Raw genomic sequence first — 18867 nt, forward strand, 5'->3', positions numbered from 1 at the left:
TATGCTTGGTCTGCATAGACATTCAGTCCACAAGTTTGGACACCAGACGGCTTTACCTACTTTCACACAACCCCTCCCCACTAAGTATGTTCCCCTTCGGCCTAGAACTTGCCCTTTCCTTTCTCTTTGTAATGTGCCTTTAGTAGCCCTCATCTTTGTATTTTAATGATTTTTTTTATCCCACTGTAGTGTAGGTATTATTCTCTGCTCTATCCTCAGCACCCAGGACAGTGCCAGGCATTTGGTAGTATTCTGTGTGTGAAAGAGAAACACGGTGCTATTTGTTAAAGTAACTAGGGACAGTGCATCTGAAAACCTGAAGACTGGAAGGGCAGGTGAGGTGACTAGACCTGTGTCCTCCAGGGAGCAGAACCAAGACAGAAGCAGCTGAAAGGAGCCAGAACTGACTCAGATTCTGAATTTTCTAGTGCTTTAAACTAGGTTTAAAAGGGAAGCAACTTCCACTGGGGATGTCTGAGCAGCTGGATGGCCGTTTGCCAGGGAGGACGGAGAGGGATTTAAGCATCCACCAGAGTTTGGCCAGGGTTACCTTGAAGATGCTTCCAACACCTATGTTTTATAAGTTTACAAAACCAGAAGAGCCATTTCCCATGTGCCACCCCTGGGCCACCTGCAGCTCCTTGTTGCTTCCCTTTTTTTTTCCTTTTTCTTTTCTTTTCTTTCTTTCTTTTTTTTTTTTTTTTTTTTTTTTTGGAGACAAGAGTTTTGCTTTTGTCACCCATGCTGGAGTTCAATGGCACGATCTCGGCTCACTGCAACCTCCACCTCCCAGGTTCAAGTGATTCTCCAGCCTCAGCCTCCTGAGTAGCTGGGATTACAGGCGCCCGCCACCATGCCCGGCTAACTTTTGTATTTTTAGTGGAGACGGGGTTTCGCCATGTTGGCCAGGCTGGTCTTGAACTCCTGACCTCAGGTGATCCACCCACTCGGCCTCCCAAAGTGCTGGGATTCCAGGCGTGAGCCGCTGCGCCTGGCCTGTTGTTTCCGTTTCTACAGCAGAGCAGCAGAGTTGGCGGCAGTCCTGATGTTTCTCTGCCCTTAGGTTGCGCGTGCCGTTCATTTGTTCAGGTACTTACTGAGAGGCTGGCTGGTGCCAGATGCTGTCCCCGGCACCAGGAATTTGGCAAAGTAGAGACTTGGAGCTCCATAAATGCAGGGAAAAAGTGCTACTGATTTTTGCCTCTAGCATCTTACTGTACATTGCACAGAGTAGGAACTCCTAGTGCTTGAATGAATTACTAAATAGGAGTTGAAATAACCTGTACCGTTTTCCGAGGCTCTATTTTGTCTGTTTTTTAAACTGTGTAAAATCATATGAGATACACTAAAATTGTATAAAATCATGTAAAAATATCATATGGGATACACCTGAACTTTAATCTTTAAATATTGAAGTTTATTTTCCCTTAACGCTTAATAAAATAAAAAAGAAAATTGGGTGCTCAGACTACCCAAATAGAAACTACCCTGAAGTATAAAAGATTTAGGGAATCACCTGTTTTCCCTTGACATCATCTGCCTTTTTTGCCATTTCCCCCAGGAACTCAATGAGTTAAAGGACCAGATTCAGGATGTAGAAGGCAAATACATGCAGGGATTGAAAGAGATGAAGGTACCAATTCACAGACGTGTGGTCTCACGATATTAACCCAACTTAACTTAAAAAAAAAAACAACATCCTAAAGAAGAAATTCAAAGTGCATGCTTACTGTAAATAGGCTCCAGGGTGTAGAAGAACTCACAATGGCAGGAGTGCCGGCATGGGTGTACACTCACCATTTTCCCAAATGCATTGTTTGAACCAAGATTGAAAATGTAACTGCCCAGTAGAAAAGGTTACTAACATACTCCCTGATGCATGCCTTAGACTTACCATCCTTCCCCCAGGCTTAAAACCAGTTTCTCATTTCCCATAGGCGTGTGCCAGACACTTGAAGAAGGTTCTTGGTTTTCTTCACTTTTTGTAGTAGTTGTATACAAAAATGCTTCAGTTGATTTGCTTCTCAAAATATCTGATGTCTACTAATAAGGCCGTCCTCACATGCCACACTTTTGAAACATCCCAATTATTTGCACCCTGTAAAATGCTACTAATTGAAGTAAAGACTGACTATGGCATTGGCTTTCTTGGAGCGTGTGCACACTGCTTTTAGAGTGTGCAGTGACTTCATTGCACCAGCCAGGAGATGTGGTTGCCCTGTTCCTTGACAGTAAGGTGGGCAATCAGTGACTGTCTTCCTTAGGCAGCAGCGGATCATGGATCTGGAAGTGGGTGGCGTATCTGTTACTTCCTTTTCAGCCCCCTAGAAAGTACCTGCAAGATCATTTGAATTTAATATCAAAGGGCACCAGACAGAGGAGGTGACATCGATCATGACTAATTCACTATCTTCATATCTGCCACCTTTCCTGAAAGGGGGAAAAATAAGACTCTGGCTTTCAATTCATGCGAAAAGGAGCCACTTGGCCAGGCGTGGTGGCTCACGCCTGTAATTCCACACTTTGGGAGGCCGAGGTGGGTGGATCACCGGAGGTCAGGAGTTTGAGACCAGCCTGGCCAACATGGTGAGACCCCGTCTCTACTAAAAATATAAAAATTAGCCAGGTGTGGTGGTGCGCACCTGTAATCCCAGCTACTTGGGAGGCTGAGTCAGGAGAATCACTTGAACCTGGCAGGTGGAGGCTGCAGTGAGCCGAGATCGTGCCACTGCACTCCAGCCTGGGTGACAGAGCGAGACACTGTTTCAAAAAAGAAAAAATGCTGCTGGGGAGCCACTGAACCAACCGGAGACCCGCTGGTCCCACGTGAAGCAGCTGTCCTGGTGTGGAGGTACAGAGCTAGACCAGCACTGGTCCCTCCAGCCCCCTGGTAGCCTCTGCTGCACCTGAACTGGCAGCTCTTGCCGCTGCCTTTAGCTCTGCATGTATGCGCCCTGAAGGTTCTGCCTCTCTGTTTTGGAATCGCCTTCCCCTCCTCATGTTTGGGGACCTGCAAGGGTGTGAGGCACGTGAGGGCATCGCCATGCGTATTTTACAGGCCTCTTTCTCTGGACTGTCCTTCAAAGGGAATGACCTTTGTCTTTCCAGGACCTACCCAGTGAGATCTGCCTGCCATTTTCCTATGAGTCAAAAATCTGAACTCACTACTGCTCCTTTCCTGGTTCATAAGCCAGAGTAGGGCTGGTTGGCAGTCACTGGCTTGTGGCCCTATGTAATTATCTCAGCCATCACACACTGGCTCTTTCACAAGGGCTGGTCACACGCCTCGAGTGATTCTTCAGAAATCTGTTGAACAGCCTGACACCCAGCCCTAGGACGCCGTGCTGGGGGGATTCCCCAGCTACTGAGTGGGGCCAGAGACTCTACTGCCTCTGTGACCACATCCCTTTCCATACTGGTATCTCGTTTGTTCTAATGAGTGTGTCCATTGCTTTTAATAGTGAATTTTCTGAGCAATGAGAATTTGACCAAATTGAAAAGGGGGATTTCCATGCATTTGAAATTGCCATGTGTTTCTTCTTCTGATCCATTTGCTCTAAGAAATATAGTCTAAGTTTAGGACTGAGGGTTTTTTTTTAACAGAATACTGAATGATTCTTTGTTTTGATTTTTTTATTGCAATTTCAAAAATATGACCTGCTTTCCACAGGACTCTCTAGCAGAAGTTGAAGAGAAATATAAGAAGGCTATGGTTTCCAATGCTCAGCTAGACAATGAAAAGACAAACTTCATGTACCAGGTTGATACCCTAAAAGATATGTTGCTGGAGCTTGAAGAACAGCTGGCTGAATCTAGGCGGCAGTACGAAGAGAAAAACAAAGTAAGCATTAGTATGATACAGAATGTTAACAATAGGCTGCGTGCAGTGGCCCATGCCTGTAATTCTGGTACTTTGGGAGGCCAAGGTGGGAGGATTACTTGAGCCCAAGAGTTCGAGACCAGCCTGGGCAACATGGCGAGACATCATTTCTAAAAAGAATTAAAACAATTAGCCAGGTGGTACATGGCTGTAGTCCCAGCTACTTGGGAAGCTGAGGTGGGAGGATCACTTGAGCCTGGAAGGTTGAGGCTGCAGTGAGCTGTGTTGACACCACTGCACTCCAGCTTGGGCAACAGAGAAGACACTGTCTCAAAAAAAAAAAAAAAAAAAGGGAATGGTAGGGTGTGTGTGTGTGTGTGTGTATGTATGTATGTATGTGTGGATATATCGTGTGTATGTATGTATATATAATGTATAATTTACATTATGTATTTTTATATTTTTAAACAATGGCTCTCCGCTTATCCAGGAAATCCAAACATCTGAGAATAAAAGTACCATACTCTTTGCCAAGTGACTTGAAATATTGATACGTATAATTTCAACATGTAAACTGGAGACAGTTTTTCTAGGAGAACATCTAAGCTAAAAGCAAAACCATGAAAAAACATACCTATGAAAGAGCCACCATGCTCAGATAAGGTGCGATCAGATGCTTCAAGATTTTCCTATTCATATGTATTTTCTGATTTTTATTTTGTTCTCTCTCAACACCATAGGGAAATAGTTATGAGTATCAAAGATTTTAAGAAAATTATATTATTTTCTGCTGATTGGGAAAAGACACAGTTACTCTACTTAAGAATTAAATATATCACCAAGCTCAGAGAGAGAGATAGTCTTATCTGAGCTTTCATTAGGAACCACTGGAACTAGTTTGTTAATAGCTGAGATCAGATATAATTTCTATTGAGAGTCTCAAGCATGAGTCATGTGTTAAGATAAGTAATGACAGCGGACTGATTCCACGAAGGCTGGGCTTGGATGTTCTTTAGATAGAAAGCAAGGAATACTTTTTTCATACTTTTAGGAATTGTCCAATTTTTCAGAGATTCTGAGAAAAACAGAAAATGTAATGTGTGAGTGTCGTTGTTGTTGTTGTTTTTAACTGGCTATTATCCTCTAAATCCAAAGGGTTAAAACCAAGGTACCCTTGACAACCTTCAGGCCTGCTTCTTCGACTGCTATAGAATTGAGTTGGAAGCTGAAGAACATTTTACGCACAAAGTTCCTTATAGCTGAACTCTGCAAGAGGGGAGCTTTTCACAAGACTGATGTCATGTGGGAACGGAGGAGTGGAGAGCACAGCCCAGCCCCCCTTCGGGTGGGGGCCTGTAATGCATATGCATTCCTCCTGGAATGCTGTCATTAGGCATCATTCAGTGGACTGAAAACTCCCGAGTCTCACTCCAGAGAAGCTGGATGGTGCTAGAATGCTGTCCCGAGATGGACACAGGGGCCATGCAAAGCCCCACAGGAGGGCCCTTGTCATAGCCAGGAGGGCACCAGCCACCCCCAAGCTAAAGGAAGTGGGCGAACAGAAGTGCCAGGGTGAGCAGAAGCTCAGGCCAGATCCCATCTCAGATCACCCGCCTGACAGGTCTAGGGAAGGAGCGTCCTGCAGGCCTGTAAGCTGTCAGCAAAGTGAGTTGGGTCTCAGGCCGTCACCAGGGATTGCGCTGCTGTGACTGGGCAGGAACACAGCAGAGCCGAGCTGCCAGCTTCCTGGGCTGAGCCTCAGGTGGGGAGGCCAGGCCTGAGGAGCAGCTAGGTTTTGCAGGCTCTCCATTTGCTCCCCCAAACTCTCCTGTTTTTGTCTCTTAAGGGGCAGCCCTGAAGCACAGAGCTGGCCACCAGCTGTTCATGAGAGATGCTTTAGTAGGCCATGTTTATCTCCTTTTTATCCCAAAGAGTTTTCCTTGTCATATTTCAGCAGGGGCCATTTTATGGTAAGTCCTTGCAGGGCAGCCTCACCCAGGCTCTCAGCACAGTGCTGTGGAAGACACCAGGCTCCCTGGGGGGGCCCTTCGTCGGCTCTTGCTTCACTGTAGATAAGAAATCAGAAAATCCTTGTTGATTGCATCAACTCCTCAGGTTAATTTGACAGTAAGTCATCAGGCATCATCTATAAAGTCCAGAGGAATCTGTTTGTGTTGTTTGAAAGGGCTTGAAGGCCAGGTGCAGTGGCTCATGCCTGTAATCCCAACACTTTGGGAGGCTGGGGCAGGTGGATCGCTTGAGGTCAAGAGTTTGAGACCAGTTTGGCCAACATGGTGAAACCCGATCTCTACCAAAAATAGAAAAATTAGCCGGGCATGGAGGCAGGCGCCTGTATTCCCAGCTACTTGGGAGGCTGAGGCAGCAGAATCGCTTGAACCCAGGAGGCAGAGGTTGCAGTGAGCTGAGATCGCACCACTGTACTCCAGCCTGGACAACAGAGCAAGACTCCATCTCAAAAAAATATATAAATAAAAAATAAAATAAAAGACCTTGAAGATTGTGATGATGTAGTAGCAGGTGATTTGTTCCACAGAAACTATAAATCGTGAGAGCCTGAACTGGCATGCCAGAAACATGGGATTCCACTGCTTTAGTGCTGTTTTTCTCCTTTACAGGAATTTGAAAGGGAAAAACACGCCCACAGTATACTGCAATTTCAGTTTGCTGAAGTCAAGGAGGCCCTGAAGCAAAGAGAGGAAATGCTCGAGGTAGGTAGCATTCTCCTGCTTTTCTTTTCCTTTTTTCCCTTTGGAGCATTTTGTCAGGCCATGACTATCTTAGCTTAGGCTGCAGTAATAAAATACCATACACAGCATGGCTTAAACAACAGAAATTAATTTTCTTACAATTCTGGAGGCTGGGAGTCCAAGATCAAGGTTGGGTTCAGGTGAGGCCTCTCTTCCTGGCCTGCAGACAGCCACCTTCTTGCTATATCCTTCCTCCAACGGTGGAGAAAAAGCAATGTCTCTGATGTCTCTTCATATAAGGACACTAATCCTATTTGATCAGGACCCCACTCTTATGACCTCATTTAACCTTAATTACTTCGTAAAAACCCTATCTCCAAATACAGTCACATTGGGCATTAGGGCTTCAACAGATGAATTTAGAGGGACACAATTCATTCCATGGCAATTACTAAAGTTTTCAGTTTTCTTAAATCTGAGAGTTTAGGCTAACTCTCCATCCCTAGATTTACGAAACAGTCCCTCTCATTGGTGAACATTCCTATTCTTTGGTGATCTTGTATTTGTTTGGGGAGGTGTGGTAGACAGAATAATGGTCCCCCGAAGTTGCCTACATCCAGATCCCTGGAAACTGTAAATATGATGCCTTACATGGTTAAAGGGCCCCTGCAGTTGTGATGAGAGACCTTGAGAGAAGGGATTATCCTGGATTATTTGATGGAACAAGCATCCTTCTAAGAGGAAGGCAACTCAAAGGCAGAAGTAGAAGATGTGACACAGGAAGCTGAGGTTGGAGCGATGCGAGAGAGGGGCCATGAGCCAAGGAAAGCAGCTCAGTCTTAGAAGCTGAAAAAGGCAGGGAAACAGATTCTCCCTAGAGCCTTCCAGAAAGGCTTGATTTTAGCCCATAAGACTCATTTTGGACTTCTGACCTCTAGAATTGCAAGAGAATAAATTTGTGTTTTAAGCTGCTGAATTTATGACGATTCATTACAATGGCAATAAGAAACTAATACAGGGTTGGTTTTTAATTTTTTGACTTAATCGGTTCTTTAACTGCTGCCTTGAAGTGAGAATTTCACCCAAAGCAGGTTTTCTTCCTGCACTTCTTGAAGCCGGAAGTAGGACAAGGAAAAAAATCCTAGAATGCTGACAATGAGTTCAGGGTTGATGAGGTGAAAGAGTGCTTGCGGCCTCACTCACTGTCCCAGCTCTCAGGTTCTCTCTCGGGCTGGGGTTTTTCTTCCTCTTTAACCCTTTATCTGCTTTCTGTCTGTTCCTTTCCTCAGGAAATCCGACAGCTACAGCAGAAACAGGCGAGTTCTATCAGGGAGATTTCTGATCTTCAGGAAACAATAGAGTGGAAAGACAAAAAGATAGGGGTAGGATTCCCAAGTCTTGAAAATCTACTCAAATGGGCAGCCTGCTTAGCAAATAGAGTTTTTTCAGAGTCTTTAGTTTGCAAAACCGCTTGTCTGAGTATGCATGCAACTCCCACGTGACACAAAGTCGTATTAATTTATTTAATTTTATTAAGTAGTGAATACACTAACTTATCCAAATTGATATGAACTTGGATTGTGACACGGACTCTCCATGGAGGGTCTTGTGAATGCGTAGCTGTGCGCTCTGCCTGCCCCGTGGCTGGGCCGGGCCGGTGGTTGTTGAAACAGCTGGAGTGAGGAGGACACTCTGAGGAGGTCTGATGTGTGCAAGTCCAGACGTCTTGGGATTATCTGCCTGGTGGTGCTTTGAGAAAAAAAATCTAAGCACCACCAGGCAGATATCCCCACTTTGAAATCTTCCCCAGGGAAGGTCTCCACATACCCTTCTCCCTCCACAAGAAGAAAAGAGGCAGTTCTACACTTAGAATTGAAGGATAGGGGGAACAGAACCCCACAAAGTAGTTGTCATGATTGGTAACAACAAATGGTTTCCCCAAAATGGTGATTCCTACACATAGCTCTAATAAAGACGTCGAGATACCTGCACAAACCATCGGCACGTTGACTCAAGCCACACTGTGTTTCCACTGTCACGCTCATCAGCACTTAGGAGTGTGTGTGTGTGTGTGTGTGTCTGCATGCACGCACACTTTAGGACCACTTCATTTATCTGAGATGATGGATACCAAGAATCAGTGTATAAAAATAGTCTAAATGGCTACAACAGCCGTCCTGGGAGGTGCTTAAGCAATCCCTTTTCTTTACTGACCCCTCATTCAAGTGGAGACTTTGCGTAACTCTAACGCAGCTGTGAACACGCAGACAAAGCTAGAAAGTGATGCAAATATAGTAACCTCTGGGGCCCCGTGCTGTGTCCGTGTGCTTCAAGATGCGCATGTCTTTCATGGAGTATGAACAGTAACATTTCTTGGATTATATATACTAAGCGAAAAGCTTAATACTTGGATTTTGTTAGTATCTTTAGGCAGAGTCTCTTTAATGTCTAGAGTCCACTAGTGTTTTAGATGGTAGAAGCCTCCTTCTGGTTCCTGCTTCTGAAGTAACTTGCTCATCTGTGCAAATCTTCTTCTTTCTCTTGGCTCTGCTGCACACTCAGGCATTAGAGAGGCAGAAAGAGTTCTTTGATTCCGTAAGGAGTGAACGGGATGATCTTAGAGAAGAAGTAGTCATGCTGAAAGAGGAATTAAAGGTATGAAGCCAAACTACAGTTTTATTTAAAAAAAAAGAAAAAAAATCCAGGTGACAACAGCAAATTTTGGGATGCTGTGAATATGTGTGTACATAATTCATTTTATGTCATTTAGTTCTGTTAATAATTCATATATTGGGTTAACTGACAGCGATGAGATGTAAAATAAATGTAGGTTCAGTGGGTGGTGCCCAAGGCCTTTTGATGTTAATAAACATAGCCAATCTTGAATGCAAGAATTTTTTGATACATTATCTAAATTTTTCTCATACTCACTAGTAAATTCTCCAGGATATTACTCAGACTTAGAGAATTAATTTGCCTCTTTATATTAAAACCCCCAATTTAAGGACTTCTCTAGAGGAACAGTGACTTGGGTAAGTGGTTTGGGCAAGGATCCCGCTAATTAGACTTTGAGACCTACTAGATTACAGGTGGAAGACGGTTCCCTGTCCTTGGTGGGCCACGCCAAGGCGTCTTCAGCCGCTGCTTGACACAGGTGAAGCGCCAGTGGCAGCACTCTGGGTGGGGGGGTTCCTGAACCGTCACCATCTGCTGCTTGGCCTCCAGGGTCAAAGCCAGAGCAGTGAGCCAGCCAGCTACAGGCTTAGAGCTAAGATTCGTAATTCTGCTCCTTGAAGAGGCGATCAGTTCAGGGGAGTTCCTCACACACAAGGGAGAGAGAGCCACAGGCGGCAGGAGGGCATGGGTGAGTGATGTCTGCAGTTGGGAAGTGCTGCTGTTTTCAGTGAATTCTGTTTCTTTTGAATATACTGAACATTCTAGCCACCTCTGAATTCCTTCTTTAACATAAGTTTCGTGTGTCTCTTTCAGAACATGTATATATTTCTTTCTTTATCTGGTTTCTCTTTTTAAAGAATGCAATCAGGGTTTTGAAATGAAAGGTCACTTGGCAGTGACTTGCTTACTGCTCCACTTGGGGGCAGCCCACAGGCCACTACCTGTAGTTAAAAAGGATGCCTGGTGGAAGTAGCTTGTCACCAGCAAATGAAAGCATGGATTGGAACATCTGAGAAAGAAGTAGCCTTTGGAGGACGATATCCCAGATTTGTGTGTGTTGACCGAATATTTACGAGTGCTGCACCCTAGCATTTCTCTTGTCTCTGTGGAGTTACCCTGTACTTCAGGAAAAAATGGTTTTCTTTTTTATTATTGTATTAAAACAGAGTTTAACCTAATATCACTGAGTAAATATTACGATGAGCCTATTTTTGTTCCCAGAAACATGGAATAATCCTAAATTCAGAAATAGCTACCAATGGAGAGACTTCCGACACCCTCAATAATGTTGGATACCAAGGTCCTACCAAGATGACAAAAGAAGAGTTAAATGCCCTCAAGTCGACAGGGGATGGGACCCTAGGTAAGTATTTGCTTTCCTTCGGCTCCTCACACCTTTCCACTCAGCATTGGTTCACCCTCCATGCACTGCTGGGGTTGGAGCCACCGTCGCTGATGGGTTAACAGTCACCAGCATGCCATTTGTTTCATCACTTCATGGTAATTTCCTTGCCCACCCGGTGTGGTCACCCACGTGTTGTCTGGCATGCATCTCTGTGTAGTGCACCATCAATGGCTCAAGTGAACCTTTTCTTTTGCTGCTCAAAGCTACCAAGCAAGACTGTGAAGGCAAAAGGAAAACAGTCTCAAAATTAAGTAACAATGTGGAGAGTACTATTTGGTTTTCCTCAGACACATATATATCTGTACCTATAAAGTGTGGCTTTTTAAACCGATTCTATGACAGAATTATCAAAAGATCAGAATGGTTGAGGCCGTCAAGTCAGTTGGCCATATTTGCAAGCCAACATCGACATCCTGGGCAGCATTCAGCGCTTTGAGGGTACGGGGTGCCTGTGGACAGCAGGTCCGTCTGTGTTGCCTTTTTCAAGCCACCGCTCGAGGTGGGCAGGCGGCCGTGGTAGTGGGTGTGGCGGTGCTGAGAGTCTGAGTATGCCCACCTTTGTCAGAGGGGATCCTCCTTTGTATGCCACGTGTTTGCTTCTGAAAGAATATAAAACTGGGGAATCCAGTAGATCAGAGGAATATTTTATACCATTTTCAATGATCTGATTTGTCATAATTTGTCATAAGAGTTGGCTTTGGGAGAAACCTTCAGATTCTGGCGTGCAGCCTGAAGTTGCAGCGTGCAAGTGAGGCCTCATCTGTCACTGGTCACCCTCTGCGTTCCAGTGTTTTACAAAGAGGCTGGAATAAGGTCAGGGTCCGTGACTTTTCATTTTAATGTAGAAGCTTTCATCTTATTTCTTTTTATTTATGGAAATGTAGACACCTCCAGGCCCCATCTTCTCAGGCCTCGCATTCCAGGGAGGTACCTCATTCATTATCTTTATGACTATTAAAGAAACACAGCTCTTTTCAATTGTGTAAAAAAAGTTGTGGCCTAGTGCAGTGGCTCACACTTCTAATCCCAGCGCTGCGGGTGGCCAAGGCTGGAGGATCACTTAAGACCAGGAATTCCAGGCCAGCCTGGCAACCTAGCAAGATTCCGTCTCTAGATAGGTATGTAGTATCTATATACCGTTGTTGAGAAAAGATAAATTAATCAATTTCCATCATACCTTTATATGAGCTACCCGAACAGCTAGGAATCTGATTACGCTGCTCTTACTCAAATACACATTTTATAAATCTTTGATAACCATTGTGAAATGTTGTAAGAACCAGAAATGTCAGTTTTGAAAGTGGCCTTCAAATGACTTTTGATCACATATTCCTTCAGCAAAGAATTGTAGGATCCAATATGTATGTTTATTTTAAATCTACATATGTATACTATTTCATTAATATAAAATGTACGTTATAAAATATATGCAAAGATATGCAAAGAAGTTTTAGAGTAAAACTCTAAATAGAATTCCTAATATTTCCCCCATTTTCCCTGGGATATGGGCACCCCACCATGGAGATCACTGGGCTATAAAATTATCTAGCTTTGACTTTCAGTAACATAGTACCATATCTAATCTGCTGGGGTTTTGTTTGGAGAGTCCAAAAATTCCAAAACAGTTTGATGTTCTTTAGACGATGAATAATTTATCATTTAATTTAGTGGTCATCTTGATCTTGAACATTTGCCTCCTGCTGGTCCTCTCTCCCTAGTCCCTTAGGGAATGGAGCAGAGGTATCAGGGCATGGACACAGGGTGTTTTCTCAGGAAAACAATAGTTGAGTGGCAGAAGATAGATTTCCTTTCATATGAGCTATTTCAAAAGCATCTTCCTTGAGACTGACCTTGAGGCTGCATTTCTAAAAGTGCACTGAATATTCTTTTTAAAAATTACTTGAAAGCTGCTTTTAGGGCTGTGTGACATGGAGTGCAGTTTGACAGCTGCAAAAGTACAAGTTGTCAAGTTGTTCATTGAGAAGTGAGAGTGGGGAATTGAACCTTCAGTCTGTTCCTAAACCCATCATTGTGGATTGTTTGGCTGCCTGATCCAGAGTTCTTTCTATTTGTTGAAACTTAACGTCACCTTTAAAAATCTGTCCACACAAGATGGCACCAGCAGCCACTCTGGCCTTTGATGTGGTGGCAGTGGCCCTCACTGACCCAAAATTTACTAATGCAACTGCTGCTTTGCCGCACAGAACTGGCAAAGGCTTGTTTCTCATGACTCTTTGATGACTCTGTCTTTAGGAATAGGGGTGGGTGGGATTTGGAACGTGTGTTTACATTCTAATGTAGATTATGTGGCCGCCACATCATGGGGTCCCTTCAATTTTCTCAATGGTCTTTTAGGAAGAGCCAGTGAAGTGGAGGTGAAAAATGAAATCGTGGCGAATGTGGGGAAAAGAGAAATCTTGCACAATACTGAGAAAGAACAACACACAGAGGACACAGTGAAGGACTGTGTGGACATAGAGGTATTCCCTGCTGGTGAGAATACCGAGGACCAGAAATCCTCTGAAGACACTGCCCCATTCCTAGGAACCTTAGCAGGTGCTACCTATGAGGAACAGGTTCAAAGCCAAATTCTTGAGAGCAGTTCTCTCCCTGAAAACACAGTACAGGTTGAGTCAAATGAGGTCATGGGTGCACCAGATGACAGGACCAGAACTCCCCTTGAGCCATCCAACTGTTGGAGTGACTTAGATGGTGGGAACCACACAGAGAATGTGGGAGAGGCAGCAGTGACTCAGGTTGAAGAGCAGGCAGGCACAGTGGCCTCGTGTCCTTTAGGGCATAGTGATGACACAGTTTATCATGATGACAAATGTATGGTAGAGGTCCCCCAAGAGTTAGAGACAAGCACAGGGCATAGTTTAGAGAAAGAATTCACCAACCAGGAAGCAGCTGAGCCCAAGGAGGTTCCAGCGCACAGTACAGAAGTAGGTAGGGATCACAACGAAGAAGAGGGTGAAGAAACAGGATTAAGGGACGAGAAACCAATCAAGACAGAAGTTCCTGGTTCTCCAGCAGGAACTGAGGGCAACTGTCAGGAAGCGACAGGTCCAAGTACAGTAGACACTCAAAATGAACCCTTAGATATGAAAGAGCCCGATGAAGAAAAGAGTGACCAACAGGGAGAGGCATTGGACTCATCGCAGAAGAAGACAAAGAACAAGAAAAAGAAAAACAAGAAGAAAAAATCCCCAGTACCCGTAGAAACCCTTAAAGATGTTAAAAAAGAGTTAACGTATCAGAACACAGATTTAAGTGAAATTAAGGAAGAAGAGCAGGTAAAGTCTACTGACAGAAAGTCAGCAGTGGAAGCCCAAAACGAGGTGACTGAAAATCCAAAACAGAAAATTGCAGCAGAAAGCAGTGAAAATGTTGATTGTCCGGAGAATCCTAAAATTAAGTTGGATGGAAAACTTGACCAAGAAGGTGATGATGTACAAACAGCAGCTGAGGAGGTACTAGCTGATGGAGACACATTAGATTTTGAGGATGACACCGTTCAATCATCAGGCCCGAGGGCTGGTGGTGAAGAATTAGATGAAGGTGTTGCAAAAGATAATGCTAAAATAGATGGTGCCACTCAAAGCAGTCCTGCAGAACCAAAGAGCGAAGACGCAGATCGCTGCACCCTGCCCGAACATGAAAGTCCCTCACAGGACATTAGTGATGCCTGTGAAGCAGAAAGTACAGAGAGGTGTGAGATGTCAGAACATCCAAGTCAGACCGTCAGGAAAGCTTTAGACAGCAATAGCCTAGAGAACGATGACTTGTCGGCACCAGGAAGAGAGCCAGGGCACTTCAATCCAGAAAGCAGAGAAGATACCAGAGGAGGGAATGAGAAGGGCAAAAGCAAAGAAGACTGTACCATGTCCTAAGCTGAGGCAGGCGGCAGGCGCGGTGCACAGGAAGTCTCAGTGTGAAGGGGTCTTTTCTCTCCACTGCCAATGTAAGTAGAATGTTCTAAATTCATAGAGAGGCACTGTATGACAATTACCAGGTGCTCTACTGCTTTAAGTTATAGACTGTTACTTGTAGATTTCCATGTAATCATTGAGGTTATCACCCAGATTAGAAAGACATATTTGTTATCAGTGTACGTTCTAATTGAGAGCATTCCAGTAGTATCAAACAATAATGTCTACTGTTTATAGTCCACTTAATAAAAATAGAGGCATTTACTATTTGCCTTAGGCTGATAGGAATGTGGGTTTTCTTGACCAAATATATCAGCATCTAATTGAAATGACCAAATAGCATTCTTAGACTTCTGTATTATGAATATAATTGATATTTAAATTAATGTCTTGTTCACATATGTGTACTTTCATATTTGATTTTAAAATGTACATTATAACCTGTATGGTATTTTATTTAAAGGAGATAAACAGCCAAATAGCAAATAGGTCACTGAATGATAAGATTTGCACCTTAGAACAATAATCATTTTAAGGATAACAAGTAAATGTCTGAAAGCATGAGGGGCTTTATTTGCCTTTACCTCATATGAGTCTTTGATCTTGAACCGATACTTTTGGATCTCATTGTTGATATACCTGAATTTACTTTGTAAGAGATTTTAACTTCACTTCATGCTGATGATGTATCAAATTCATTTTATAGAAAGATTTAAAGTTTTTTTCTGGAAGTGATATATGTCAAATTACATTTCCTACTGCAGTATTTGAGCAGGGACAGTCATTTTTTAAATGTTTTTGGCCGGGCGTGGTGGCTCATGCCTGTAATCTCAGTACATTGGGAGGCCAAGGCAGGTGGATCACCTGAGGTCAAGAGTTCGAGGCCAGCCTGGCCAACATGGTGAAACCCTGTCTCTACTAAAAATACAAAAAATTGGCCGGGCGTGATGGTGGGCGCCTGTAATCCCAGCCACTCCAGAGGCTGAGGCAGGAGAATCGCTTGAACCTGCGAGGCAGAGATTGCAGTGAGCCAAGATCAAGCCATTGTACTCCAGCCTGGACAACAAGAGCGAAACTCTGTCTAAAAAAAAAAAAAAAAACACACACACACACAACACAATGTTTTCACGCCTGTAAACCTAGCACATTGGGAAGCCAAGGTGGGAGGATTGCTTGAGGCCAGGAGTTCAAGGCTGCAGTGAGCTATGATTGCACACTGTACTCTAGCCTGGGAGACAGAGTGAGACACTGTCTCTAAAAAAAAAAAAAAAAAAAAAAAAAGTTTTTGAACCTTAAAATACTTTGTTTGAATTTCTAATCATCATTCAAAAGAGCAGTAAAAAATGGTTACTTGTTCTTGTACAAGCTACTAATTAGACTATAGTAGGATATTTTAAAGAGCTGAATCACTTTTGGTATTTTGGTATAAATATTTTCATTTGTTATGTCCCAGTATATTCTTACTGGAAAATTCTTGTTTTGATCTGCCTGAAGAAAATATCTGTTTTCTATATAAAAAAATTTTTTAAAATAATTGTAAAGTTAGATTTAAAATTGTAAAATATAAAATCACAAAGGAATGTACCTTATGAATGTTGTTGACATTTTATGAAATTATGTGGATTCATATTACTGTTACAAGATAGAATTGAATGCAAAAAGACCAAAACCTCAATAAAATTTGAGGAAAACGTGTTATTATGTAATTGAAATAAAAACATTTTATAATTGTGCAAGCCTGTGGTTCCACTCTTTGGGCTGCTTGAAGTCTGAGTCTGACTACTGTTGTATGTAATACCACCTTTGAGTAATATCTGCTTGGGGGTTGCTGATTCCTATTGGGGTTCCGTGGAAGACCCACGCCTGATGCCCTCCCTCAGTAAGGAATGCACTTCCCTCCTGGCATCGAGCCTGGGGCTAGCATGGGCATTACTGGGAGAACTGAGACGATTGTCACGCACCATCCCCTGTGATCTGTGGTTCTGATGTGCAGCCTCAGCTGAAAACGGTCTTCACCTGTGGCTGTGCTTACCTGCGCCACTACTTACAGTGTTTTGAAGAGCAGGATGAAAACGGCAAAAACCTTGACTGTTTCTGCTCAAGTGTCCTGAAGTAGAGGATGGTGGGGATGATAAATGCTTGCTAGGAAATAAGTCCAAGGGCTCTATAGGACTTCACAGGGTTTTAGTTTATGTCTCTAACTTTAGCAAAGCTGCATTCCTATTGGAATGCATACTGGAAACAGCTCTCATTCCTACCTTTAAAGGGCTCTTGGAAAGCAGTGTGACAACCAAGGTCACTAAATGGTGAGATCATCAAGCCATTTTAAGTTCTTTCTCATGTTATTCACCAGCACCCTGCAGGACGTTGGGCACACATCACATCCCTCAGCTCAGCCATCCAGCCGTCTCAGTGATTCACCACTCATTTGCTTAATTAATAGACAGGTTTGATCACTTTGTACATGGAAGGCACTGTGCCAGTGAACAAGCAGTTGGACCCAGCCCTCCAGTAGGGAATGGACAGCTGAAAATCCATGAGCAAGAAAGAAGGAAAAAGAAAGAGTTCTGAGCAGCCAAACCATTTCTCGATGATTTCAGAGCCTTCATTCTGAGCATCAGTTATATGCTCTCCAGTGTAATGACTTTATAGCCAAGCACAGTAATTGATATTACTGTGAAGGCCCTTAACTTATCAAGAAATGGTTGAGGCCGGGCACATTGGCTCATGCCTATAATCCCAGCACGTGGGAGGCCGAGGCAGGCAGATCACTTAAGCCCAGGAGTTCAAGCCCAGCCTGGGCAACATGATGAAAGCCCATCTCTACAAAAAAAATATACAAACAATTAGCCAGGCATGGTGGCATGTGCATGTAGTCCCATGTAGTCCCAGCTACTTAGGAGGCAGAAACACCTGAGCCTGGGAGGTCGAGGCTGCAGTGAATTGTGCTCACACCACTGCATTCCAGCCTGGGTGATGGAGTGAAACCCTGTCTCAAAAAAAAAGAAAGAAAAGAAAAAGAAAGTTGACTTAGCTATACTCCATATAAGAAGGTATAGAAATATATAGAGCAATTTAGAAAGATTATAGTGTCAAAAGATTCAAACTCAGAAAAGAATTGAAAGGTTGCCTGCCAGCCATATCCCCAGACGAACCTAGACCACTGGGGTTTCACTATCATACAGAATAGAGAAAAACATTGGTTACTGACACCTGAAATCAAAAAGCTTGGATATTTTTCAGTCCCAAACCAGAACATAGCTCCCGTATATAAATGTAAATCTTCCTTCAAAAGTATAATTAAGTATAATTATGGGTGTATGTCAAAAATATAGAGGAAGATGGATTTTTACTTATAGGTTGTTATACAAAGTTGGGACAGCAATCAAATTTTTAAACAGTTTTCAAGAATGTATGACCTTAAAAGAAATGTGTGACCCTGATCACTTTCCATATTTGTAATTAACCGGAGACCTAATGGTCTGAACACTTAAGTTTCCACTATCACTAGGACCCTGAATGCTAATTCTGGGGAGTTTAGATGGTTTGGGGCTCCTGTTTTCTATTCATAGACTCCCTTTCTGGGAGACCACCCCCCAACCCTGTACAGCGTACCACCCGTGGCCACCAGCCAAGGGAACACAACAGTAAGATTTGTTCTAAACGTCTGGGCCCCTAAGGGAAAGGGAGGGGTGTTTGTGTGTGCATGTATTATGTTCAGAATATGTACTTGTTCAGTGTGATAGTTGTACGTGGAGAAAACTTTGTCTTTCAAGAGGAAAATCCTTTTGTTCTTTTTGTCCCTATCTACTGCCTCTCTTAAATATTTTTCAACATGTGAATGGCTGGTGGCTGATACAGGGAAAAATTTCCCAGCTATACAGACACTATAAGTCTACCGGTGATGTGCCACTATTTATTCAACAATATAGACTTGGTGGTTTTTAACGCTACGAAAACTAGTACTCTTTATTTTCTTCATGTCAAATTATTTTGCTTCATTTCTTTTTCCATTTTCTTCAAACTCTTTCGTTCTTGTTTTCTTGTCCAAGTCTCCTTTAGAATTTCTCTTCCTGAAAAGTTTCTTCTCTATTTATAATGTTCTCACTATACAACTAAATGTCAGATTACCTATATCAATTTTGCTTGCACTCTTATTACATTTTAACACTTATTTTCTAGTGCTTATGTAGAATATTTGAAGTTTTCTAGAAGAAAACAATAACAATTGTACAATAGATACTTGAGCTTCAAGATCACATTCTGGTGTATTCAGTGTTTCTTATGACGCCTGTAGTTTTTGTATGTAGGAGTATTAAAACATGT

At 43.1% G+C, this 18867-nt stretch overlaps 1 protein-coding gene across 50 annotated transcripts in view, besides 2 other annotated features; it reads left to right on the plus strand.

Moving 5' to 3' along the window:
- LRRFIP1 (LRR binding FLII interacting protein 1) overlaps window positions 1–18867 on the plus strand; it is a 154057-nt gene that overhangs the window by 122052 nt on the left and 13138 nt on the right. For 11 of the 50 annotated variants that reach the window (XM_047446306.1, XM_047446312.1, XM_047446317.1 and 8 more), the window contains 4 exons: window positions 3671–3841; window positions 6457–6549; window positions 10426–10567; window positions 12965–16277. In XM_047446306.1, coding sequence (XP_047302262.1) covers window positions 3671–3841; window positions 6457–6549; window positions 10426–10567; window positions 12965–14502 — 1944 coding nt within the window. In that variant the 3' untranslated portion in view covers window positions 14503–16277. Of the gene's footprint in view, window positions 1–1561; window positions 1634–3670; window positions 3842–6456; window positions 6550–7817; window positions 7911–9090; window positions 9184–10425; window positions 10568–12964; window positions 16278–18867 lie in introns of those variants that run through there. The other 39 variants (XM_047446293.1, XM_047446295.1, XM_047446294.1 and 36 more) reach the window with 7 other exon arrangements.
- Window positions 3443–3492: an enhancer, noted in NCBI's record as "active region_17376". NCBI's record gives its function as "activates an Ori minimal core promoter by ATAC-STARR-seq in GM12878 lymphoblastoid cells {active_cell/tissue: GM12878}" and the evidence as "EXISTENCE:reporter gene assay evidence [ECO:0000049][PMID:35858748]".
- Window positions 12791–13003: a silencer, noted in NCBI's record as "fragment chr2:238671072-238671284 (GRCh37/hg19 assembly coordinates)". NCBI's record gives its function as "represses an EF-1alpha promoter that drives an FKBP-Casp9 reporter gene in an ReSE screen in phorbol 12-myristate 13-acetate-treated (for megakaryocytic differentiation) K562 erythroleukemia cells {active_cell/tissue: K562(+PMA)}" and the evidence as "EXISTENCE:reporter gene assay evidence [ECO:0000049][PMID:32094911]".

The sequence above is a fragment of the Homo sapiens genome, chromosome 2, assembly GCF_000001405.40.
Source record: "Homo sapiens chromosome 2, GRCh38.p14 Primary Assembly".
Taxonomy (NCBI): domain Eukaryota; kingdom Metazoa; phylum Chordata; class Mammalia; order Primates; family Hominidae; genus Homo; species Homo sapiens.